This window comes from Homo sapiens, chromosome 2 (genome assembly GCF_000001405.40).
Source record: "Homo sapiens chromosome 2, GRCh38.p14 Primary Assembly".
Taxonomy (NCBI): domain Eukaryota; kingdom Metazoa; phylum Chordata; class Mammalia; order Primates; family Hominidae; genus Homo; species Homo sapiens.
Genome location: NC_000002.12, coordinates 65654580 through 65680848, shown reverse-complemented (window position 1 = coordinate 65680848; position 26269 = coordinate 65654580). Strand labels below are relative to the sequence as shown.

General features: G+C 43.1%; 1 long non-coding RNA gene and 1 pseudogene across 1 annotated transcript, besides 4 other annotated features; both read right to left on the bottom strand.

Moving 5' to 3' along the window:
- Positions 1–443: 443 nt before the first annotated feature.
- On the bottom strand, positions 444–10307 carry LOC107985889 (uncharacterized). Its single transcript, XR_001739513.1, has 3 exons — positions 9635–10307; positions 8226–8367; positions 444–619 (listed from the first exon to the last, which is right to left on the bottom strand). It is a non-coding gene; the product is annotated as an uncharacterized LOC107985889 (long non-coding RNA).
- On the bottom strand, positions 13055–14421 carry KRT18P33 (keratin 18 pseudogene 33; annotated as a pseudogene).
- Positions 14192–14241: an enhancer, noted in NCBI's record as "active region_15939". NCBI's record gives its function as "activates an Ori minimal core promoter by ATAC-STARR-seq in GM12878 lymphoblastoid cells {active_cell/tissue: GM12878}" and the evidence as "EXISTENCE:reporter gene assay evidence [ECO:0000049][PMID:35858748]".
- Positions 14332–14381: an enhancer, noted in NCBI's record as "active region_15938". NCBI's record gives its function as "activates an Ori minimal core promoter by ATAC-STARR-seq in GM12878 lymphoblastoid cells {active_cell/tissue: GM12878}" and the evidence as "EXISTENCE:reporter gene assay evidence [ECO:0000049][PMID:35858748]".
- Positions 17220–18419: an enhancer, noted in NCBI's record as "P300/CBP strongly-dependent group 1 enhancer chr2:65889564-65890763 (GRCh37/hg19 assembly coordinates)". NCBI's record gives its function as "activates an origin of replication core promoter dependent on BRD2, BRD4, P300/CBP, MED14 and CDK7 cofactors, with strong dependence on P300/CBP, by STARR-seq in HCT116 cells {active_cell/tissue: HCT116}" and the evidence as "EXISTENCE:reporter gene assay evidence [ECO:0000049][PMID:35650434]".
- Positions 22282–22782: an enhancer, noted in NCBI's record as "H3K4me1 hESC enhancer chr2:65885201-65885701 (GRCh37/hg19 assembly coordinates)". NCBI's record gives its function as "activates a minimal SCP1, AML or CMV promoter by ChIP-STARR-seq in naive H9 embryonic stem cells {active_cell/tissue: H9 hESC(naive)}" and the evidence as "EXISTENCE:reporter gene assay evidence [ECO:0000049][PMID:30033119]".

Here is a 26269-nt window from a genome sequence, read left to right as displayed (position 1 = left end):
CTGCCTTTAATGGCAAAGAAAGAGAAGAAAATATTTGTACCACATGCAGTTGTGAGGTGCTCTGAAGAAGATTCCAGAAAGCTTTATGGAAGGTCATTCCCAGAATGGCAACCACTTCATTTGGCCCAGCCCCATAAGATACCTTTAAATTCTAGCAAACCTGAAGTCTTCAGAGCTTTGGCATTTGGCTTTTGTTTTTATTTTAACCTTTTTTTTAATCTTTGCTCAAATATATGTTTCCCAGGATCTACAGTTAATTTAATCTGAAATAAACTGAGGTACCATAAAATTCATGGCAGAGTTCAGCCTTAGGGGTCAAGCAACCTAGATTTTAAGCCCCAGCTGGTTCTGTATCTTAATTTCAATTTTTGTGACCTTGGAAAAGTTATGTCAACTCTCCAAGCTTCCATTTTCTTGTCTCAAAAAAAAATAGTGTAATGAATACACCTCTCTATAGAGTAATTGTGAACATTTCAGGAAATACTGCATGTAAAATACTAAGTTTAATACCTGAGACCGAGTATGGATTCAGCTAATATTATCTATGTGAAGAGAAATCCCATGAAACTCCATTTCATCCACTCATGCTCTGTCTGGAATATTCAGGACCAGGACTGTTCTATAAAGAAGGGGGATAATATTGTAGCAAGTGGTGAAACCCCATTTCAAAGGCACTAAAGTGGCTATTAGGCACCCCCTCCCCAACTACATACACACACAAATAGAATAATCTGGATGATCTCTTGCAAGCACTAAACCTAAAAGAGAATAGGCTCCAGGCCAACACACATTTTCTGCAAAATTGAAGATCCACCCCATAATATGTGCTATGTTCTTTAGACCTGGAAGCTTCTTTATGCTAGGGACCTCATTTGGGGACTATTATGCAAATGGGATGCACAGGGTTTTGAACTGTATTATTAGTTGTTTGGGATTCTTTCTACGAAGTTGTCCAGAAATACAGAGATTTTTTTTATTATGAAAAACTTCAAAGATATGCAAAAGTAGACAAAATAGCATAATAAACCCCTATGTTCTCTTTATTCAGATTCTACAACTATCAATTCATGGACACTTTTCTTTCATCTAGATCCCCACCCACTTTCCCCAATCCTATTATTTCAAAGCCCATCCCCAAAATTATTTCATTTCACCCATCAATATTTTCTATGTGTCTCTAAAAGAATTCACATTTGTAAGATATAACCATATATCACTCTCACACTTAAAAGCTTAATAACAATTCTTTAATATCAAATGTCCAGCTAATGTTTAAATTTCTAATTTGTCTAATAAATGTCATACTACTTTAACCATGTATTTGTTTTAATAAGAATCCAAATGCCTATACATTTCAACTGATTTATTTCTTTTCTGTCTTTTTTCCATCTATAGATCTTCCTCAATATTTTCCCTTGCAATTTATTTGTTAAAGAAACCAAACAGTTCTGTGAGTGTCCCAGAGTCTGGATTTTCCAAAAAGCCTGCTAAAGGGTTCTTAACTTTTCACAGCTAACCTCTAAACAGGAGGAGGGATAGAGAAGCTGAAGAAGCTATTAATCTGCTGGTGAGAACATTTTTATACTTTTACTAAAGGCTGCTGATGCAATCGACAAGATCACTGTCGTGTCAGTTGCAGGCTGGAGTGAGGAAGCCCAAGATTTGTTATGCCCTCAGGTCTTCCCCTATGTTCTTTCTAATGAAGACATCACAGGCACAGGCGCTCTGTGTACCTCATTGTTACTCACTATGTTTTTCTTGAGAACCTGCTCCCTTCTCTCTCCCTGACACAGGCATGGGTCTGTGCAGTGGAACTAAGGGGATGAAGATGTGGATTTAGCAGCAAAAGGCAACAGGTGGGAGAATGAAAGGGTGAGGAAATAGGTAGATGCAGCCAAAAGCAGGGGAGTCCGGGATTATGGATGGGTAGGATGAGCAGACAGAGTGTGATGGGGTGTCACAGAGAAGGTGGTGGCTCTGCCATGATCACTGAGTCTCATGCCTGGTGATAAGGAATTAGGCCACTTGGGCTGGGAATACATAAGACCTTTTCCTCTGCCGTGAACACAACCTCTGCTACCTCAAACTAAAATCCTCTAAACAACTCAGCCATTGTAGGAGATGCATTGTGACTTGAGTTGTTATGACAGATCAGATCTGGCTGTGCGGTTATGGCAGTCCGTACTAGGAAAGCTGTTAGCCTGATGGCTGCTTTATTCTTCCCACACGGGAGCCCTGCCATGAGAACTGGTCACCTTTTATATACAATAGTAAGATTCTAGAGCTTTCCCCCATGCTTAGTATTTTACATTGCTATAAAAACAGCAATACCTTGTTGACAGAAAAATAATATAAAGCAGAGGTATATTTTCATAAAATAAAATGTTGATGCTATTAGTGGACATTGAAGGTATACAGTCAGCCCTCCATATTCATGAGTTCTGCATCTGTGCATTCAACCAATCAAGGCTCAAAAATATTCAAGAAAAATAATTGTTTAAAATACAAACTGTAAAATAATATAGTATAGCAACTATTTACACATCATTTACATTATACTAGGTATTCTAAATAACCTAGAGATGATTTAAAGTAAACAGAAAGATGTTTGTACGTAGGCTACATGCAAATAGTATGCCATTTTATGTAGGGGAGTTGAGCGTCCACAGATTTTGGTTATCTGCAGGGGTCCTGGAACCAATCCCCCAAGGATACCAAGGAACAACCATCCTGTGTCTTCTCCTTTTGATTCTCTTTTGTTCTCATAATAAGCTTTGAAAATTAACAAATTTTTTTTCTCATGTAAAACCCCTCATGAGAAAAAAAAAAATTTCCCTCCATGACACTAAACCCCTTGAGATTAAAAAAAAAAAAAAAACTGATGATCTCCACTTCTGGCAATGGTGGCAGTGCTTGTTAAAGGCTTACCTTCCCACTGAAAACAACTAGAACACCTGGACGAGATACTTTTTAAAATGTATTTATTGGCTTCAGAGAACTACCAAGCCAAGGAAGACTTGAGGAGCCACATTCCTGGAGAGAAAACTGCAGAGAATTGAGTCCAATATTCATCACTGCTTTTGCCCTCTCGCTGTTCACAGGTTTCAAAGCAATAGCTGAAAGTTGAAAGCCTGAGCAGAAAGTGGCAGCTGAAAGACTAGACAGAGCATTGACAGTCTCAGGTGGGGAGGGAAGCAAAAATTGGAGTTCCGAGATCACCAAAGAGAAGGTGCCCTGGTAACCACATTATGCTTTCAGTTGGGACTCCCACTGGCATAATGGTGAACAAAAATTAATCCGACCTCACAAAATCTGAAGCCTACCTTCAAATCATCGCAATCCCAGGTCTGATCAAGGTGATCTGTCCCTGGGTTAACTTCATGCCAGACACAAAACAGGTCCTCTGGAAAAATGTAACATCATACAGAACTTCAAATTAGCTCTACAGCTCTTACATGCATGTCTAAGCATGCTAGGAGATGAGACCAAATAACCAAAAACCAACAGAAAAGAACAGACAATAGAAACAGACTAACACAAAATCAAGACATTCGAGTTTCACATATTATAAAGTAACTGAGATTAATTTGTTCAAGATATTGTATGATGAAACGGAAAATTTCAAACGTAAGCTTTTTTAAAAGGATCAAGTATAAATGCTAGAACAGAAAAATACAATTGGAATTAAAAATTCAAGAGTGGGGCTTAGCAGCAGCTAAAAAGATAATGGTTGTCTGGAAGACAGGCCAGAAGAAAATAGCCAGGCTGTGGGAAATCCAAATCTTGATAAACACAGTAAAATTTTGAAGGTCAAAGAAAAAGAGAAAATCCTAAAAGCAGATGGGACAGGGGTGGAAGGACACATTACTTTTAATAGAGTGACAATAAGACTGACAGCTGAATTCCCAACAGAAATAACTGAAGCCTGCTGGACATGTCCCCAGATGACCTTGGTGACCAATTCTTTTTTTTTTTTTTTTTTTTTTTTTTTTTTTTTTTTGAGACGGAGTCTCGCTCTGTCGCCCAGGCTGGAGTGCAGTGGCGGGATCTCGGCTCACTGCAAGCTCCGCCTCCCGGGTTCACGCCATTCTCCTGCCTCAGCCTCCCAAGTAGCTGGGACTACAGGCGCCTGCCACTACGCCCGGCTAATTTTTTGTATTTTTAGTAGAGACGGGGTTTCACCGTTTTAGCCGGGATGGTCTCGATCTCCTGACCTCGTGATCCGCCCGCCTCGGCCTCCCAAAGTGCTGGGATTACAGGCGTGAGCCACCGCGCCCGGCCCCCAATTCTTACTTTCTTTTCTCACTTACAATTCTCAAGAATAACTATAGAATGTGCTGGGAATGCAATAGCTTGAGATAAGGAGGAACTGGCCAAAACAGCTTGGGCTCTGTTCCAGTCCCTCCTAGAATAAGATCTCCTACAACACTTTAGCACAGTGAGTCCAGTTTCCTCTGAAACAAAACCCAAAGTGGAACACACTTTCAGGGACCCTCAGCTGTGGTGAAAAGTGGGATAAATGCATAGGAGACTTCATCCTCCCTGGGCAGCTTTCCTGAGCCTTAGGGAACAAGCTCATCATGAATCCTAGGCTTCTATTGTCCTCTGCTGCCTATCTATGAGTAAAAAAGTTGCTTCACTTAATTTCTTGTGTTACCAGACTCATGCAAGTGAATTGAAACTAGTGCAGTGTTTAGAGTCTTTCCTTGAGATTGAAACAAGTACATAGTGAACATGCTTCACAAAGCCAGGAGACAATGGAATGATGCTTGCAAACTGCTGAAAAAAAGAACAACTGGGCTTCCACTTCCAATATGGTAAAGTAGCTGCTACCATACCCAGATTTCCCACATATCACAACTGTAAACTCTGGACAAAATTAGAAAAAATAAAAACCTGATGACACTGGAAAGTAAACAAAGACAGGTAAATTGTGAAAGAAAGTAGACACTTGGAAAAAAGGAACAGCACAGGGTGAGTTGCCCATTTTTACAGCATTTTGCCTGAGTGTAGGCCAAAGTCAGTGCTGCACACTGTGGTTCTGATAGAACTTCAACAGAAAATCTCTACCTCACCAGCTTGAAAAAAGCAGAAGACAGAGTTCACGATAATCAGCCACTGGAAGGGAGAGGGAAATCTCAGAAAGGATACAGTCAGAAAGAATGACCACAATTTCTGTGTTTAAACTGCCCAAATCTCTGGCTAACGCCCAAAGCACACAACCACGGGGCAGATTCTAGCTAAGAATATGAGCTTTGAATACCTGTGGGATGATATCAAAATGTCCAACATACATATAACTGGATCCCAGAAGAAGAAGAAGGAGACAATAGGACATAAACAATAAAGAAATAATTTCCAATTATTTTCCAAGTTTAGCGAAATACATAAATTTACAGACTCAAGAAACTCAATGATTCATGAGCAGGACATACACACACAAAATGATTAATATCATCAGACTCAAACTGCTGAATACCAAAGATAAAGAGAAAATCTTGATAACAACAAAAGAAAAGAACACAAAACACACGGCTAAACAATGATTCAAAATATCACGAACTTCTCACTTGAAACTGACAGAGACGTCGGTAAAACACTGAAAGTGCTGGAACAGAAAGCTATCAACCAAGAATTCCACATGCAGAGAAAATAAACTTCAAGAATGAAGGCAATATAATGGCATTTTCAGAGGAAAGGAAATAATTGCCAGCCTGGAAGTCTATACCAGTGAAAATATCCCTAAAGAAAGAGTGAAATAAAGGTGTTTTAAGACAAAGAAACGTTGAAATAACGTATTGCCAGTAGATCTGTACCAAAGGAAATTCTAAAGAGGGTTCTTGGAGAAGATGAAAAGGATCTCAAATGGAGCTTAGAAATGCAGAAAGAATTAAGAGCCACAGAAAAGGTATGTGGGTAAACATAAATGAATATATAATGTAAAAACTGTAATAATCATGTCATGGCAGTTAAAATATACACAGAATAAATATAAATGACAATAGTAATAAAAATCAGAAGTCAAATGAAGTTAAAGTGTTCTAAGGTCCTTGAATTGCTTGGGTGGAGGTAAAAGTACTGTTTTACATGTAGTGTAATCTAACCTCTGCCAGTCAGACCTCCCCCTCAAGACATAGGGACTTACTCCCTCAGCTGTCACCTCTCTTTAGGAGTTGCCATCAGCTGAAAAGGGCCACCTTGCCCAGTGACAAGCCCCCTTCCCAAGGCGGCCTACATCCAATAACTGCTCAATGTGTGGATATAAAAGCCTGGCCCCTCACCCAAACTCAAGACAATGCTGAAAAGCCATCCCCACTTCCAAGGTTCCCTGGAGAGAGCTTCAGTCTTTCATTCTAATTGCAGCACAATCCAACTTCTCTCTTTAACAAACCTGCTTCCTTTCCTTCCCTTCCACTGGTGTTAAGCCAAGAACATTTCCCCCAGTAAACTTTCTGAACAATAACTACATCTCAAAGTCTGTCTCCTGGGAGATCCAACCTGAAACAGTATATTAGACTTTCATAAGTCTAGGAGATATGTTTACATTCTAGGATAACCTCTAAAAGAGTACAAAAACAAAATGTAAAATTAGCAAACTAAGAGAGGGGAAAAGTAGAATAATAAAAAATAATCCAGGCCGGGCATGGTGGCTCACGCCTGTAATCCCAGCACTTTGGGAGACTGAGGTGGGTGGATCACTTGAGGCCAGGAGTTTGAGACCAGCCTAGCCAACATGGCAAAACCCTGTCTCTACTAAAAATACAAAAATTAGCAAGGCATGGGTGGTACATGCCTGTAATTCCAGCTACTTGAGAGGCTGAGGCACAAGAATTGCTTGAACCTGAGGGGAGGAGGTTTCAGTGAGCTGAGATCGTTCCACTGCACTCCAGCCTGGGCAACAGAACAGAGACTGTCTCAAAAATAACAGTAATAATAATAATAATAATAATAATAATAATAATAATTCAAAAGAAGGCAAGAAAGGAGACAAAAGGGAACATAGAACAGGTAGGAAAGAAACAAATTAACCAGATGACTGTTAAACTTGTGAAAAGACACTTAACCAGTAATAATCAAGAAAATGCAAATTAAAGCAATACCATTATTCATCCATCAGATTTGGAAAGATTTAAAGAATGATACCATCCAGCACCAGCAAGAATTCCAGATTATGGACTCTTTCATATATTGCTAGTGGGAATGCAAACTGTTACCACCATTTGTAAAAGCAACTTGGTAATATATATTTAAATTAAATATTCATTGACCCTTTGTAGCAGAAACTAACTATTCAAAAAATTGTTTCCTTTTGTTCTGGGCACACCTACACTACATTTTCCAGATTCCTCTGTAGCAGACAACTGAGTCCTAGCTCAGGTATGACACTACATTCACTTGTTGAAGGTGGCAAAGCCCCTGTGGCCTGAACCCGGAGTGATTATGTGTAGCAGAGACCTCTGAGTACCTGAAACTAATGTGGACTATTTTACTTTTATTATGTTTGAAATATGATATATTCGAGGGTCTATTTGTTATAGCAGTTAGCTTACTCTAACTTATTTCCTTTGACCCAACAATATTACTTACAGGCATCTGTCTTTAGAGGTAAAAGTATGGAATATATAAGACCCTTTGTGTAAGGAAACATATGACCAGAGCAACCTGAATGTTCATTAGTAAGAGAAAAGGGTTGCATCAGTTATAATACATCCATACTAAGGAATATTATGCAGCTATTAGGAGTTATCTCTGTGCCTACTGACCTGGAGAGACTACCATTTAATGGTTAAGGGGGAAAAAACCAACCTGATATAAATGCTTAATATAATTTCTTTTGTAAGAAAAGAGAAACTGACCCCAAAAAAATGGCATATACATGTGTGCATATATTTGCATGAGGATGGAGAAAGGTATGCAAAAATGTGAATCAAGTTTTTAACATTAATTATCTCAGGGATGTAAGAATGAGCAAATACAAGCTATGGGAAAGAAAAAATGAATAACAGAATGGAAGCCTATCTCAGTGTAATATTGAATGAAAGTGTAGAATATAAAATTGAATCATTAAATATTAAATCAAATATGTAAAAATTAAATATATATGTATGTAGAGAAGGTAATATCAACTTATATAAAATTCACCTTTGTCTTAAATGTTAATATTTTAATGTTACTTTTATAATTTAAGAAAACTGAAAAAAAAAAGGAACAGGCTTAACCCCCACCTGGACTGGGCTTTTGATGCCACATAGTGACCATTTTTTAAAACTGACCAGCCTGGATTTGAGACTATGTACTGGTGTTGGGGTTGCACGAGTGTCTTGTTGAGCCCAAAAGTCCACAATCACTATGAGGATGCAGTTTCCCCTGAAAAAAAAAAAAAAGTCCCCATAGTCAGTCATCCCAGCTAGAGTTGAAACCTGCAATAGGAAATGAAGGCGTGAGAGGCAAGCCTTAGACTAGGATAACTTCTTAAACTTTAATGTTCTTAGAAATTGCCTAGAAGCCTTATTAAAATACAGATTATGTTTCAGTGGGTCTAGGGCAGGGCCTATGATTCTGCATTTCTCATAACTTCCCAGGTGATGCTGATGCTGCCAGTCCTTGGACCACACTTTGCACAGCCCAAGGACTAGTGTGAGGGAAATCTTTCTACTCTCTCTGGGGGCAGAAGCAGGGTACAGGGAGCAGGGGGCGAGGAGTTAGCTAAGTTGCCCCAGACAAAGCAGTAGTAAGACTGGGAGCTAGGCTGCCAAGACACCCTGAAGATGGCCTGAGCCATGCATGCCTCAGCTGTGAGCTACTGTGCATATGCACTTCCCCTCCATCAACCTCGAACCTTCTGGGAAGTCTTGTTAAAAGTTACATCCCAGGCTCTGCTGCATTGTCAGGAATTACAAGTGATAATTCCTGGAAAGACTAATCCCATGCTTATAATGAAGTGTCAACAGTAACAGCTGGGTCTGTTTCCCCTGAGGTCAATATAGTGGTTGCAAAGGTCTCCCCAGCAGGAGGAGCCCTGGTGACCTCTGTTCAGGTGGTATGAGGAGCAGAAGCTGCCAAATAGCACCCTTGATGGGAGAAGAACTGAGGCTATTTCTGAACAGGGAGCCACACTCTGGCATATCCACCAAATAAAAATGAACCAAGCTAAAATGGCTTAATCAATAAAAGGGGGTTATTTTTTCAGGTAACAAAGAGTCTGGAAGTCAAGCAATTTCAGAGTTGGGTGGTTCTCAATCCAATGACACCATTAAAGACCCAGGGACTTTCTTTCTGCTCTCCTCTCCCAGGCATGTTGGCTTTTGTCTCAGGCTGTCCCTTCTGTGGCCAGATGACTGTGGATATTTTAGGCATCACAAGCTCACACAACACGTAAGACAGAACACCCCTTCCTTGTATCCCTGGCAAAGATAACTTTCCCAGAAGCACCCTGTTTCTCCAGTCCTCCTTGCAACTCATGAGCCAGAATTGTACTACATGCCAAGTTCCTCTACCAACAGGGAAACAAGATTCCCTTGCTTGGCTTACAGGAATAAGATGCTCTCTCTTTATGTGAGTGGGGTCTAAGCTTCCTGAACAATGCAGCTGCCTGATACCCAAACAAAACTGTGGTCTGTGAGCAGGAAAATACCTGGACTTGGGGACATGTACTGGTGTTGGGGTTGGATGGGGGAATGAATTTGGGAAAAGCAGACAGTGGTGTCTTCCATTCCTGAAAAACACCCATAAATACATGGAAGGTTCTTTGAGGGGTGTTACTTTCCATCAATAAAGGCAGTAGGTGGTCAAGACACCATCCTGCAGTCATAAATCAACCCTGAAAGACAAAGGAGAAGAAAAATCAAGGAAGTGGATAGAGATCAAGTTTTACCAAGAACTATAAAGATCCAAACAAAGGGCCCCATGTGAACTATGCACATTCCTACTTCAGTGCTTTTACCTGTGCAGTCTGAACTGCCTCACCCCTACACACACACACACACATACACACACACACCTACCTGGCACACTCTCTTGTCTTTTATCACAGACCTTCATTCCCTCCATTTCAAGTCTGTCACACCTCAGAAACTTCTCTAACTAGGCCAGCCTACAATAATGTATCCATTCTCTGTATTCCTTGAGCATTTGTAGTCTATAACACACATGCTGTCATTTAACTATAGTGTGCATATTCTGGAACTATTAGTTTATATACATGATTATAACAGGATGTTAAAATGGAACTCTTTCTAACTCCTCTAGGGCACCTGGAAAATAGGTGTCAGCTATCCTCACTTTCCAAAGCAAAATGTTAAACCATCTATGCAAGAATCCCAAGGAAAAGGTCTCACAATTTTGAATGTTCTCACCACAAAGAAATGATGTGTTTGAGGTGATGGATATGGTAATTATCCTGATTTGATCATTACACAATGTATACATGTATCAAAACATCACACTGTGCTCCGTAAATAAGCACAATTATTGCGTCAATTAAAAACAAAATAAAACTTCTAAAAAATGGGGAAAAAATGGTCTGAGAAACAGTTTTGTGACCATTGTCCTTAATGGTATAAAATGTTGAAATTGAGCAACCTGGGAAATAGATGTTTTCATTCTCCTATTAGTGTGCTTTCTGTCTTAATGTCCCCTCACAGGATTGGATTCAACTGCAAGTGAAAGAAAACACAAAACAAATGACTTCTAAGAGAAAGAACTGTATTCCTCTCTCATGTAAATATCTAAAGTAATGGCTCAAGGCTGATATGGTGAATCTATCCACATTCCCACCAGTAAGAAAGTTGAAAGGAGAAAGGTCTAAGACCTTTTAAGGATACTTCCTGAACACTGCACACACAGTCTTTACAGCCCACTGGCCAGAACTGAGTAACATAACTAACCCCAGTTACAAGGAGGACTGGGAAATGTAATCTTTATTCTGAAAAGCCACATGCCCAGCCAAAAGTCTAAGGCTACATCACTGTGGAAGATACAGTGAGGAAACTAGGTGTTTCTTCCATAATCCACCTCTTTTTTTTCTTGAGATAAGGTCTCGCTCTGTCACCCAGGGTGGAGTGCAGTTGCATCATCATTGCTCACTTCAGCCTCAACCTCTCAGACTCAAACAATCCTCCCACCTCAGACTCCCAAGTAGCTGGAACTACAGGTTAACATCACTATGCTCGGCTACTTTTTAGTTTTTTGTAGAGAGGGGATCTCACTATGCTGCCCAAGCTGGTCTCAAACTCCTGGGCTCAAGCAATCCTCTCTCCTTGACCTCCCAAAGTTCTGAGATTACAGATATGAGCCACTGTGCCTAGCCCCACAATCTACCTCTTTAACCCTAAAAATACCCATGTGCACCCATCTTGAAATACATAGAACATACCCATCCTTTCCATAAAAGAAGGCAATGACCCAACCAGTAACTGCATTCAGCTTAAATCCAGAGTGTATGACTGGTGCCCAGTCCTCTCCATCAGGCCCAGATGCAGCTCTTAGTGGTCAGGTGATCTATACGCTAATAGTAAGTTATCTTCCCATCACATACCTAAAATTAAAATGGTAGAGAAGAAACAAGATAATAACAATTTCTAAAGACTCCCATTTGGAAATGGGGAGAAGGGGAAATGCCCAGAAGTCACTGGCCCATAACTATTATCATATCCCACTGGGCAGGAATAGCAAAGGCTCCTGTCCTTGATAGTGAAGTCGCTTCCTTGGTTGGACACTCTGGCAGCTTCTCACTCTCCTTTCTGAGAATAATTCCCTTGTCCATTGGCCCTGGTTTTCCCTCTCCTTTATCCATCATCCTCTTGACCACATCTGAAAAGGGCCTTGGAGGGCACACACAATCTCCTTTCCCACACTCTTCCTGCTAATGCAGCTTCTGGAACACAGGCATTACTCTACAGATTGCTGCTCACAGGCTTTTTTGTTTCCAATATGATTCCCTCAAAATTTTAGTAGGCTTCCAGTTTATCTGTTTCCATGTGTGAAAAACCACAGACAACAATGTCATCTAGACACAGCTTTTAAGCCTAAAGTCTCAGGCTTTTTACTTACTGGCCAGTGTTTGGCCACACCTCTCTCTCTCTCAACATAGTAGCAACTGAAACAAAAGGTTTGCTAAGATTTGATTTTTGCAGCCAGCTAAGCTGATTCCCATGATGGCAGAGAACTCTTAAAATAAATTGCTTGAAGAGGGTTTGGGGCCACAGTACTACATGTTAGCAAGGCTGCCATTTTGCAGCCACCTCTTGGGGCTGCTTCAAGTTGGGGTACAGACACAGTTAGCTTAATTAATACTTCAAACACCTCCAAATTGCTAGACTCTCAGTCAAATTAGAGTGCAGGCTACATCACAGAGCGCCTCCCCTAGCAAAGTGACATTTCCTTCCACATCTGCTTGTGGACTAACTAGCTCTCAGCTGAATTCAACTCTCTCCTGTAGGACTTTGCTAAAAGCAGCAAAAAGCTGCCCTACCACCAACATTCTAGCCTTTTTCTACTATTTTCACTAACACGTGGTCTGCCTTTTGAGGTATAGCAGATGCAATTCGACCTACTGTTTTGCTACCATCTAATGGGGGTGACCCTCTTCCTACTCTGCAACATCTATGTTTCTGCAGCCTATCATCTTCCCAAGCTAATGCTCAGCACTCCATTTCAAGACAAAATTCTGAATTATTTAGTATTAGGTTCAGTTGTGTCAGACAACCCATAACAACAGTGGATTTGTTTGTGGGTTTTTTTTTTTTTTTTTTTTTAGATGGAGTCTCACTCTGTGGCCCAGGCTGGAGTGCAGTGGTACAATCCTGGCTCACTGCAACCTCTGCCTCCCTGGTTCAAGTGATTCTCCTGCCTCAGCCTCCCAAGTAGCTGGGACTACAGGCACATGCTGCCACGCCCAGCTAATTTTTTTGTATTTTTAGTAGAGACAGGGTTTTACCTTGCTAGCCAGGGTGGTCTTGATCTCCTGACCTCGTGATCCACAAGCCTCGGCCTCCCAAAGTGCTGGGATTACAGGCGTGAGCCACTGCACCCAGCTTTTTTTTTTTTTTTAAACCTCTGAACTTTTCATCGGCCTCCTCCTCCCCAAAGGGTCCCCGGGTTCTGCTGACTTAATGTCTCAGAACTTTGGTGTTGTTGGTCTCAGACCCCACTTTGCCATCCACTATCCGGCCGGTGGTGGTCTTTTGCATAGTTTGCGTGGAGTTGATGCTGTCCAGGGCATCGCTAAGATTGAAGTCCTCACATCTTCCAGCAGGTGGTGGTAGGTGGCGATCTCAGCCTCCAGCTTGACCCTGATGCTCAGCAGGGCCTCGTACTCCTGGGCCTGGCACTGTCCCTCTGCCCAGGTCTGTGCCAGCTCTGACTCCAGGTGCAGCAGGATCCTGTTGAACTGCTCCATCTGCAGGGCATAGCGGGCCTCCACCTCCCTCAGGCCATTCTCCAAGCTAGCCTTCAGATTTCTCATGGAGTCCAGGTTGATCTCCAAGCAGCTCCATGAGCATCATCTCAGCAGCTCCAACCTCGGTGGACTGCATGGTGACTACTGTGATACTCTCCTCAATCTGCTGAGACCAGTACTTGCCCAGCTCCTCTTGGCTCTTCCGAGCCAGCTCATCATATTGGGCCCAGATGTCTGCCATGAGCTTGGCAAGGTCCTGAGATTTGGGGATATCTACCTCCACAGTCAACCCAGAGCTGGCAATCTGGGCTTGTAGGCCTTTTATTTCCCCTTCTTCGTTCTTCTTCATGAAGAGCAGCTCCTCCTTGAGAGCCTCGATCTCTGTTTCCAGCTGCAGCCGAGTGACATTGGTGTCATCAATGACCTTGCGGAGCCCATGGATGTCGCTCTCCATAGACTGGCGCATGGCCAGCTCTGTCACATACTTGACTCTAAAGTCATCAGCAAGATGGGCATTGTCGACTTGCAGAACGATGCGGGCATTGTCCACAGTATTTGCGAAGATCTGAGCCCTCAGGTCCTCCACGGTCTTGAAGTAATGGCTCCAGTCTCTGACTTGGGGTCCCTTCTTCTCCAGGTGCTCCCGGATTTTGCTCTCCAGCTTCCGATTCTTGGTATCCAGTCTCCTCACTCTGTCCAGGTAGGAGGCCAGGCAGTCATTCAGGCTTTGCATGGTCTCCTTCTTGTTCTGGATGTCTTCCATCCTGCCAGAACCCTGGCCATCCCCACGGCCAGGGCCCCAGACCCCATGCCACCCCAGAAGCTGGTGGAGGGGGACATGGAGATCTGGGAACCAGAGCCCCCAGCCCCTGCAGAGATACTGGTCATGCTGCTGACTGGCCGAGCGTCTTAGCTGGGCACCTGGACAGAGCCCAGGGACTGGTAGTTGGTGGAGAAGGTGGAGCGAGTGGTGAAGCTCATACTGTCCAGGGAGGAGAGAGAGAGGACAGAACTCAGGCTTTACCAGTGACAAATAGTGGGTTTTACAAGATGGAAGTTTATTTCTCTCACACATGCAAGTTTCAGTAGTCAGTGTGTGTATGACTCATCAGGGGCCCAGGCTGCTTCCTGCCTACTGCCCAACCTCCTCAACATGCTGCTCCCACTTCTGCGACCAAGATCTCAGCCAACTGCCTTCCATCCAGTGGGAAAGCGGGTTGAGAAGAAGGCCATGCCACCTCCTTTTAAAGATATTTCCTGGAAGTTGCCTACACTGCATGTACCCAATATGCCATTGATCAGAATTTAGTACCATGACAATGGGTTTAGTCTCATGGTGGGTAGCTGTAAGGGAAACTGAGAAATGTTGTCTTTATTCTGAAAAGCCACGTTTGCAGATGAAACTCACTCTATCACTGTAGGAAAAAAAATGGAAAAAAAAATTGGGGGACAACTAGTGTTTCTGCCAAAGTGGTATTTCCCCTCACCTCAAACCTGGTGGAATGAGCTTCCAGGAGACAAAATGGAGCTTGTTCAAGGTCCCCTGAAGTCTGTGCGGTACCAGAGGGTACTGCCAGAACGCTGGATGAATGAGCCTAAAGGGAAAGGGTGGGTAGCAGGGCTGAAAGCAGAGAGAGGAGAGGAGGGCCTGCATGACTGAGGGAGAGCCAGCCTGGCACCCTCTTAAGGGACTTTGTCTAAGATGGCCTCCTGGGGGCCACTGGGACACAGCAGAGTCTCTCTGTGTGAGTCAGATTACTGGAAAACCAAAGAAACTGCAGATAAGAGACTCCCAGAGATGAAAGGCAATCTCCGAAGAATATACAAATTTTTACTTCTGTCCCCAAAGCAAATCAACTTCAAACTTCTCCCACAGCCAGAAGAAGCCATGTCAGGTGGCATTGATGCCAGTCACATGAGACCCTCCCAGCCATTACCTGTCCTCCCTTCCTACCCACCCCAACCTCAGAGCAGTCGGCAACATCGGTGAGCAAGCTGGCTAGGAGGAAAACACTTGTAAGGTCAGGTGAGAAGTCAAGGCTTCCCAAGTCTTTCTCCCTAACTCAGAATTGTAGGCAAGAGAAAGAGAACAGGAGAGGTTTTCATTTTAAATAGAATTGGAATTTTTCATGATTTATCTGGAATTGCACATTCCATTTCTGTGGTTCTCAACCCTGTCTATCCATCTGGAATTCCTGGGAAGCTTTAAAAATACTGATGTCTGGGCTTCATCCTCAAAGATTTTTTTTTCCAATCACCAAAGATTCTTATTTCACTGGTCTTGGCGGTAGCCTAGGCATCAATATTTTTTAAGAGCTGCCCGGGCAATTCTGATGGGCCACCTGGGTTGAAAACCACTGTGATAATATTGAATTACAAACATTTTTGCAAACAAAAGATCCTGGAGTAGCCAGAAAAGTGATGGAACTTTCTCTAGATCTGACCCAGGGAATGGAGAGCTAACCCCACAGCCCAGGCTTAGAAGGAAAGGATGACAACATTTTACAACTGCATCTGCAGAAGTCCTCACTTTCAATCTAACAGTTATATAAATCCTACCTCTGCAAAATCAGAAGCCTCTTCTGGGCAAAGGCCATGACAGGATTCTATGGAGTCTGCACACTGCACCGCACTTGCTACACCCATGGCAAGAGCTTAGTATATGCTTGTTGTCCTGTTGTTAACCTCTGACCTCCATGCTGGGATAAATCAAAGTGTCCTTTCTGATGCACTAAAGGCAAACTAAGGTGACTCCAAGAGAGCCTTAAACTATATCTTGGAACTAATGAAGAAGATTAAAAAATGCATAAGATATAGTTATTATTATGAAGTGGCTAGAAATCTTCTATCAACCTATGACCAAATTCCATGGCCCAGATTATGACTTCTATATTGAAATTGTCCCACATTTAAGCAAATTGTTGTCTCATTAACCTAAGGAAAGGTCTTCCAGAAGGCTAAAATCACCAACATTGCATTGCAGATTTAAGGAGTAGGCTTTGGTGTCTAGGAATGCTTGAAACCTACCCAGTTTAGTGAAGCTGATCCAGTTGATTAAGCCAGAACATACCCCTCCATCTCTGTCTCATTCCCACATCTCCTAACCTGAGGTAGAGGGCAGTCTCACTGTTCACACCATCACCACAACCACCATCCTCAGTCATGGGGAATCCCGCCCCACTAAAAAAGTCAAGGCACAATGACAGAATGCAGGAAAAAGCCAAGAACTTGCAAAACCACCAGCTGACCTCCAGGAACAGCTTTAGTCAGCCAACCCAAAAATGTCACATCCCAAAGTAGAGGCCTCCAGCATCAGGATTCCACCAGAGATGCTTCTCGAAATGTTCTTGATTCCCCCAAGCCCATGTTTATTGTACAACTCCATCAAACAGGCAGGGGCTGATTGCCTAATGCATCGTACGCCAAGACTCGACACTTGAGAAATCACCTTTTCCTGTGGGTGGATCCTGAAGCTTGGTATCAAGAGAGCCTCCTTTCCATAACCTACAAAGAAAAAGCAAATACTGTGAAGCACGTGCTAGTATGAGAATGGGCCTTCTCCATCACTACCTGTTGTCTTTTGTCTGATTCAAGGACTTTTTTTTAACCTAGAAATAAAATGCATTCCACCATGAGACCGAACCCAGAGAGAAGTCTGCTTAAACCACATTTGATGAAAAGAGGTTTTCAATCCCAATATATTTTTCTAGACTTTTTCCAGCAGAGAGAAGCCCCCACATGAAAGATAAGTTCAACCAGAGATGAAGTCCCTTGTTCATTCAGACACGAAAAGCTTCACCCTGTTGCCCTCCCCTGCAACATTATGTTGCAGGAAGGTCAGTTACCTTCCAGAGGGATCCATTTAAAAAGTTCTCCCCGATACTGGCAGTGCTGTTTGCAACGTCCATATTTTACCCTTTAGAAGCCCCACTTGCCATGCATTCTATCCTGGGTAGTTCCAACAGCACCAAGCCATGAGCCCCCATCTTCAGTTTTAATCAGGCATTAAACACTGGAACATTAGACAAGCGAAGCATTTGATGATGACGATAACGAGTGGCCCATTAAAGGTAATTTTTTTTAAGTTAATGAGTTCTCCCCAAAGAACAGAGCCACGTACTGTACTGAAAAATGTCTGTAGGACGTACTACGCTTTCTCGTTATTTATTTAACTTTATGTGGATGCCATAAAATTTCTTTATTTGCTTTCAGTTAGCCCATAGGTTTTGACAAGATAAATTTTTATTTAGGTCTTTGCCCAGCTACAATCAAAAACAGGAGACTCACTTTCCAAAGCCAGGCTGATAGATGGATTAATCAAAGTACTCCCCACCCTCCTTTCCTTCCAGCAACCACAGGGATCCACAGACGGAGTTTTTCCTTAATTAAAGAAACTCAGCAACAAGATGATTTATCGATGATGAATCTGGCAGGCCTTTTCATTGTGCGGTTAATTTTGGCCACTGTTTGAAATTTACCAACATAAATAAAGCCTCTCCATGACTAAACAAAGTTAAAGTAGCAATAAATTGAGCCTCCCATGTACTCTGGGCTAGATCTGAAGTCAACATAAATACCAGAATGCCTTGGCTGTGACACGCTTGATACGATGACATCATGCACTTCCAAACAGATACAGCCCAGCCCAAGCCAAAATGAAAACCTAATACAATTCCCCTAAATGAATCAAATTGCAGCGGTCTAGACTCGGCTGCACCAAGTATTCAACTTCCTTGTTCTCCGCTGTCAAGCAGTCGCATTAAAAAATAATCTATACGCTGTTCTAAATTTTGCTTTTTCTGCATGATTAAATTTTGGCAGGAGTAAATCTCTGTTATTCTCACTCCCCAGGAATGTTTGGAAAGTTACTAAAAATTCAGGATTTATCAGCTTAAGGTCCACCTGCTGTGACGGGATCCTGCAGCCAGCCTGCCGCTACCCTCAGCGGGACACAGGACACTGAGTGTTCATACAGGAAGAGGGTGAAACTCTGCTCACTTCACAGAATGGCTCAATGCTGGCTTCTCTCCCAAGGGACTTGCTCTGCCCACATCTAGCAACAGGCTGTCATGAAAGCCTTCATGAAACAAGAAAGTCAGCTAAACAGGGGCTCAACGCCCCCCAGCCCTGTTACTACTAAGAGATGAAAGGGGGAAGAAACCTTTCAGAACGCACATGCAGGACAGCGAATTAAAAATGGAGAAAATCTAATAACTAATTGGTGAAACCATAAAAGCTGCCATAAAAGACATTTTCCTTAAACTACTTTACACAGGGCTGTATAATTTTATGTCACTTTTTATTTATGTTGCCGTAATGAAAGCTGCTCTGGGAGCTGAGGAGCTTGGGAAGAAAGAAATTGAACTACTTTTAAAAAGGAGGGGAGAAGTCCAATTATAGGGCTTCGAACAAGATTCCTTTTGAAATATAGCTGGACTGGGGAGGAGAACCTATTTACTTCCAAAAGCCTCTGAGCAAAAATGTTTGCAATGAATAACTTTCTTCCACCACTATTTTCTCTACCCCGAAGGACTTAATTACTTAACATTCATAAAGTGGGTTTGATAGTATTTCACAAAACAAGGGCTGGGCACAGCGGCTCATGCCTGTAATCCCAGCACTTTGGGAGGCCAAGGCAGGCAGATCACTTGAGGTCAGGAATTTGAAACCAGCCTGGCCAACATGGCCAAACCCCATATCCATTAAAAATACAAAAATTAGCTGAGCGTGGTGGTGCACGCCTGTAGTCCCAGATACTCAGGAGGCTGAGGCAGAAGAATTGCTTAAACCCGGGAGGTGGAGCCTGCAGTGAGCCAAGATCGTGCCGCTCTACTCCAGCATGGGTGACAGAGTGAGACCTTGTCTCAAAAAAATAAAATAAATTAAATTAAATAAAGATAGTATTTCACAAAACTAGGATGTGAGCTAGGTAGACCAATGCTATTTAGACTCATCTGTGAAACCAGGCTTTTCTTGTGTCTAATAGATAAAGAAGCAAGCTTTGAGCACCTAGAGGGATTCTTATAAAAATGAACTCCATTTTGGCAAGATATTGATGAATTTACAAAGCTCCATAGGACATTACAATGCCATATTGAAGGATTCTAGATAGGTACTGTTTATTATGACCCAGCAGATCAGACAAGTTCTTTTCCCTTATTTGTATATGATGATTCAGGGAATGTTACACCATTGAGAAAAACAGAATAAGGTGCAATACAGAAAACCTTGAATAAATTATAAATAAGAGAAATTTAAAATAGTATATGTTCCCATAGAGAGGCATGAGGGGGCTTTTGGGGTGCTGATGATGTTCTATTTCTTAATCTGGGGCCAGTTGCTACAATGTATTGAGTTCATTAAAATTCACTGTATGCTTATTATATGTGCTGTCTTATCTATATGTACATTATATTTTAATAAAAAGCTTTTTAAAGTGGCATATGTTCAGATGAATCCCTTTAAAAAGCTGCAGAGTGAGTAACATGCATACAAAAACACAGAAGTGCTCTATGATTTTCCCAGAGAAAACATAGATCACCCGTTAAAATGCAGGGGCCCTCTGAACTCTGGCTAACTTTCAAAGCAAGATGAGGTTGTTTTTAGAAACAATTTCCCATCTATTAACAATGAAATCCAATTCAGCTTCGAATATTAGAAAGTGAAACATATATACAACTCCGAGGGACTGTTGAAGTATCAAACAGATAGGGCATTATTTAGGGAGGCTCAACAGTCAAGGCCACTTTACACCATTACGGACCAGACTAAACAAACCTGACCCGCAGGGTGACCCTCCCAGGATCCCAAAAGATTGGAAACTCCGAAAAGGCAGCCCTGACCAGACTTTACAGCCTGATAATGGCATGCAAACAACACTCCATCTCTGTCACGCAGCCAAAGGTTGGTGTTGTATATGAGAGCAATTTCCTCAAGAATTCAGAGAAAAATGTGATACTTTCCCTTTTATGTATGGGGCTCATAACAGCAAGTGTATTTACTCATCGGGGACACCCAAACCTCCTGATGAATGCCCCATCAAATCATTCAACCCAATCAGTGGGTGGTGGCAGGGATGTCAGATGCAGGAGGAGGGGAGAGCCCACTCGTGCAGATCAGGAAAAGCCTCATTTGCAGGATGTTTTAAATGCTGAAACCATGTACAGGGAAACACCATTGAGATTCACAGTCTTCCCTGGGAGGCAGGTTTCTCTCTCTCTCTCTCTCTCTCTGTGTGTGTGTGTGTGTGTGTGTGTGTCCCCCTCGCTGTCCTCAACACAGGCAATTCTTGCTGGTGTGGCTCCGAGCACCGAGGTCCAGCCTGCATTTGTCTTTTTCTTTTTCTTTTTTTTTTTTTGAGACGGAGTCTCGCTCTGTCGCCCAGGCTGGAGTGCAGTGGCGGGATCTCGGCTCACTGCAAGCTCCGCCTCCCGGGTTCACGCCATTCTCCTGCCTCAGCCTCCCAAGTAGCTGGGACCACAGGCGCCCGCCACTACGCCCGGCTAATTTTTTTTGTATTTTTAGTAGAGACGGGGTTTCACCGTTTTTAGCCGGGATGGTCTCGATCTCCTGACCTCGTGATCCGCCCGCCTCGGCCTCCCAAAGTGCTGGGATTACAGGCGTGAGCCACCGCGCCCGGCCTCCAGCCTGCATTTGTAATTCACTCTTGTTCACCTAGAAAATGTTGGCAGTGGGTGGCCCTGAGTCCAGCTTCATCAGGGTCCTGTTTTCACATGTTCCTCTGTCTTGTGGGGAGCTAGTTCCCCCACACAGCCCTCAACAAGCACTTGGCTGGGAAAAAAAATGTGTTTGCGGGAGGGAGGCAGGGAGGCTGCAGAGGGGGTGGGTGGTGAGGTGGGGAGGGAAACAAGGCAGGGGAAGAAAAGGAAAATACAGAAAAAACAGAAGCTATGATCATATGCTCTGATGAGGAGGATAAACTTTGGGGACAACTTCAAATTCAAGGATCACCATGATTTATCCAGAAACTCACTTTCCTCACTTTTTTCTCCCACAGAACAGATCTGGAGCCTGGATCCTCATTACATGTCTATAACTGCTCCTCAGAGCCCTCTCGAACCTGTAGGGAAGGGAGCGTATCCCAGTCTCCAGACTTCCAGAACATCTTCTCTGACCTATTCAAACGCAGATCCCTTTCAGGACCATCAATAACATATCCCAGGCCATCAGTCCTCTCAAGAGCAAACTGTGTCTGGGGATCACAAGAAAGGGACATCAACCCCATACTGGGTATTTAAAGGCCACTCGCAACCTCTTTTAGAAATCCTCTTTACCCCTCTATGATAGAACACAGCATTTGGCTTTGAGCCATCATATTTTTCAGATGACTGCTGGCCCCATAAAAGTTCAAACAAGACATTCCTTCCAGTGTGGACCACAGCACATTGCTGTCATTCCACAGGACAAGCCCTCATTTTCAGGTGGATCACAAGCTCCGTGCTGGAGGTGGCAAATGCATATCATGTGTGTTGGGGAGCATGAACATCTTGACTTTTTCCCTCCTTAAAACAATGATCCTGCTTTCAAAAGATAAAAAGAAAGTCAGTGTGGCTACCGGATGAAGTGTAGACCTAGCCTGGCAGTGAAGAGGAAGCAGCCATCAGAAACGCCTGCAGAACAGTGGTATCCTCCCTGCCCTGGACAGAGAGGAGAGAGCACTGGCTCAAAGTAGCCCAGGCATTAAACACACAACCTAGGCTCAAGATGACCAAGGCCTCCCATGGGGAAAAGCCATCAGGGAGCTGGGAGCTTCATTCACCTCCCAAAATGGAGAGCAAGTTCCTTCTTCCTAAGCACCAACAGGCTTGAGCAGTTCCCTGCACCAGTTTCTGTATCCATCCCACCAGAAACCAGACACGAGGCAGGGAGGCCCAACCACCGGCCCAGGGGCCCTATATCCTGCTGCCGCAGCCATCTCCCCTTTCATCCCTGTGAGAGTCACCTCCCAGGTGACCCCTGGCCCCACTCAAGTTTAAACAAGGCAAGGTGTTGCTTTCAGCCCATACCCACAGCACATTTCAGTCCTCCCATTCAAGGGGCCTCAGCCTCCACCCCCCACCTTCCTCTGCCCTTTAATCCCCTCCTGGGGAATTCAGTTATGCATGTAGCTTGAAATGGGGACCACAGGCTGGGCCTCTACAAGCTGCTAATTGAAAACCTTGTCAGAAGTGGGAGGAAGAGGCAGAGGGGGAAAAACAACAACCCTTGACAGGACCCCACTCTCATATTATGAACAGCAGCATGCCCTCCCAGAAGGGCTGCCCTTGCTCCACCTCGGCTGTGTGGGAGGCCTTCCTCCCGGCCTTGAGGACTGAGTCTCTGGGAAATGCTGCCTACCACATCAGAAAGGATGCAGCCAAGGGGTCCTCCAGCCCCTGCCTGACCCTGGGGCTGCCTTGCTCTCTGAGCATGCTGTTCCTGCTGCTTCTGGGGACAGGCTGCCTGGGTCAAGGCCTGGCTCCACTACTCTCAGCTGTGTGATCGTGGGCAAGCGATTCAACCTTTCTGAGCCTCAGTTTCTTCCCCTGTGAAATGTGGATGAGAATTGTACCTATTTCAGAGGGTCATTGTGAGGATTAAATGTGATTTTACATATAAACACTTCATACAGTGCCTGATACAGTATTCATAACTTTTAATATTTTGCTCTTGTTTATAACAATGAGAATTCTTGATCTTGCCAAATTGGAGAACAGCCGAGGATAGGGGAGAAGAAGCTGAGGTTGTCATTCTATTCCCATTTCATAAGTAAATCTGGTACCAGATTTACTTGGTACCATAACTAAATCTGGAAGCCTTTAAATGAAAACAGACAGGGATGCATGCTTGTGTGAAGGTGGGGAGAGGAGGGTGGTAAGACTTCAGTGGAGGGAAGATACAAAGAGAATAGGGAAGGAAAGCAATGAAGCCAAAGTTTTTCAATCACCTATTGTATAACAGGCACATTTTCGGTGCTCTCATGACATGTCTGCACAATGCTATAAGGTAGTTATGATCACTCCCATTTTCCACTAAAAATCTGAGGCTCAGAAAATGCTTGGCTCCTAAATGTGGCATTGAATTGGCTTTGAATCCCAAAACCCCTGTCCAGGCTCTGCCTCCCACATGCTCTGCAGTGGGGGCTCCTTCCTGCTTTTTAAAAAGGACAAGAAATCCTCAGATGGTGGTATTCATCCAGTTTTCAGGAATTAGACACGTTTTTCTAATACTACATTCATAGAAGCTTCAGATTGGAATATGGGCATCTCTCGTGTGAAAGGTCTTGATCACCTTTTTTTTTTTTTTTTTTTTTTTGGAGATAGGGTCTCCCTCTGTTGCTCAGGCTGGAGTGGGCTCACTGCAACCTCCGCATCCCGGGTTCAGGTGATTCTCCTGCCTCAGCCTCCCCAGTAGCTGGGATTACAGGCATGCACCACCACAGCCCAGCTAAGTTTTGTATTTTTAGTAGAGATGGGGTTTCATCACATTGGTCAGGCTGGTTTCAAACTCCCCACCTCAGATGATCCACCCATCTTGGCCTCCCAAAGTGCTGGGATTACAGGCTTGAACCACTGTGCCCAGTCTTGATCGCCTTCTTTATTCAGAATAGAAGTTTCTAGTCCAGACTTTCATGCCAAGGGTAGGTGGGAATGTGTCTGAAGCAGTAAGTGGGAATACTTTAATACTTCCCTGTGAAGAGCTCTGGCTGAGTTGTTAACATCCAGGTTAAGAATATAAAAAGCAAGCTAAATGAAAACACCATGATTACAATGGCAGTGACTTTATCCAAGGACCTCCAAAATCACTAGCAATTATGTGCTTTGAAGCACCTACATTAGGAAAACTGCAATGATTTTGTGTCTACTGATGAGGATAATGACTAATATATTCTGTCAACAGACATGACAGCTGTCTGTACATATTTGGAGGCATGTATTTTTAGAGGCTGTTACTGTACCTCCAACTATTTTAACTACTAAATTTTGTTGACACCATGCAATCCAGTAACAAGGAGGTTTACAGGGAAAGGTTAAAATTCCTATTTCCAGCCGTTTCTCTTCCTTACATCATTTTTGTTTCATTATTCAATAGGACCCATAAATCTGCCACTCAGATCCCAGACTAAGTGACACGCTACAGAGAAATTGCTAATGTCACTAGGAAACAAAATAAAATTGAACACTGGGTTCACAGCATTCAGCCCTCAAAAGCGTCATTCCTGGCCTAAGATTCATTCTAACACTCACACACTGACCAGAGAACTTCCATCCGATGAAGAACCTGGGCTTCATTTCCTCTGCCCCCACTCCCCATTTTCCTAATTGGGGGCTGGGAAGAGAAGGGAGGTGGAAAGATTTGCAAGATTGGCTCTAATTTTAAGACAAAAGCCATCCCATTAAATCTTAACAGATGTTTCCCAAGTTTAGAAGATTAAGGAAGATTTCAGCATCAAAAATCAAAGAAAATACTCCATGACCTTAAAAAAGGATAAAACACAAAGCTCTAACAAACCCAAAGTCCACTTTGACAGCTGTCTCTGACGGAATTGACGAGGTGCTATTGATGTTTGGATTAAACCATGCCTCTGTGATCAAGTACTCAAACATGGGATAAAAGACGAATATATTCTTTAATCCTACCCACTAATTTTGTCTGGGCCCTGAAAAGCAATGAGTACTGAACAAATGTTGAAAGTGGTTTCGCTTCTGTTTATTGACAAAGCTATTTTTATTTCATTAATTTGCCACGTATCTTATCAGCATTTAAACTAACACGAGGAAATCCATATGAGGTACTGAACTCTCCACAAACAGATAGCTGCAACTTCTAAAGCCACTAAAGGTAAAATCAATAGACAATGATTCTAGAAAGTGAGGAAGTTGTTACAGGAAAATGTAATAGAAAAATTGTGTTCTGATTTATTTTTCATTTGTCTTTTAAAAAAACAACCAAACTATAAAATAGCATTGGGAATTCTACTTTCCAGCCTGGTGAGTTTTAAAGGAAAAGAAGAAAAACTTTTTTTTTTTTTTTAAGGGAAGGGTGAAGAGGCAATTAAGTCATTAATTACTGTCTTTGTCTAGCGATGTCCAACCCATCAAACTTGGCCTCTTCTGTCTTCATCAAAGGTGCAGCTCACTCTACTTTACAATAAGTACCTCTTAATAAGACAATCTCATGTTTCAAAAGCTGCGCTACGAGGAATTTAGATGAAGATAAATTACAATAACACTTAGCAGCAGACTCCAGAGTTTGACAGCCACACAGCGCCCACTATCACCCAAGGTTATCAAATGAGTAGTGAGAGGTTCAGGATACCAAGACACCACAGGGAAACAGGATGCTGTACGCCAAGGTCAAGGGGGATTGGGGTTAGGTGGAAGAGAGATGAAACTGACACTAATTCTAAGAATTAAGGACTGTGATCTACACCTCACTCTAAAGGAGACCAGGAGGGACACAAGTTCTTTGTAGAAGGACCCAGCAAAAACACCAGAATATCCTAAGAAAGTAACTGAGGAGACGGGGGTCCCAGAAGAATTAGATCAGCCTTAAGACCTCTTCAGTGGGAACACTATGGGCTGGCAGGTGGTGGCCCTGCCCTCCTAACTCTTCTGGGCAGCCACCTGCCTACTCTCCCCTGCATGCTCTGAGTTACCCAGGCCCTGCACTGGCTCCTGCCTTGGAGAATCAGGCACAGGCTGGCTTCCTACAAGAGCAACATCTGACACCAGCGCTGACACCTGGTGTCTGCTGTACTGCCTCCCTGTACCCAACCCCGATCCTGCTCCATCCCTTCAACAGCCATGCTCTTCTCCCTTTGTCCTCACTTTGACCCTGACATCCTGGCATCCATCTGCTCTGCCCCCA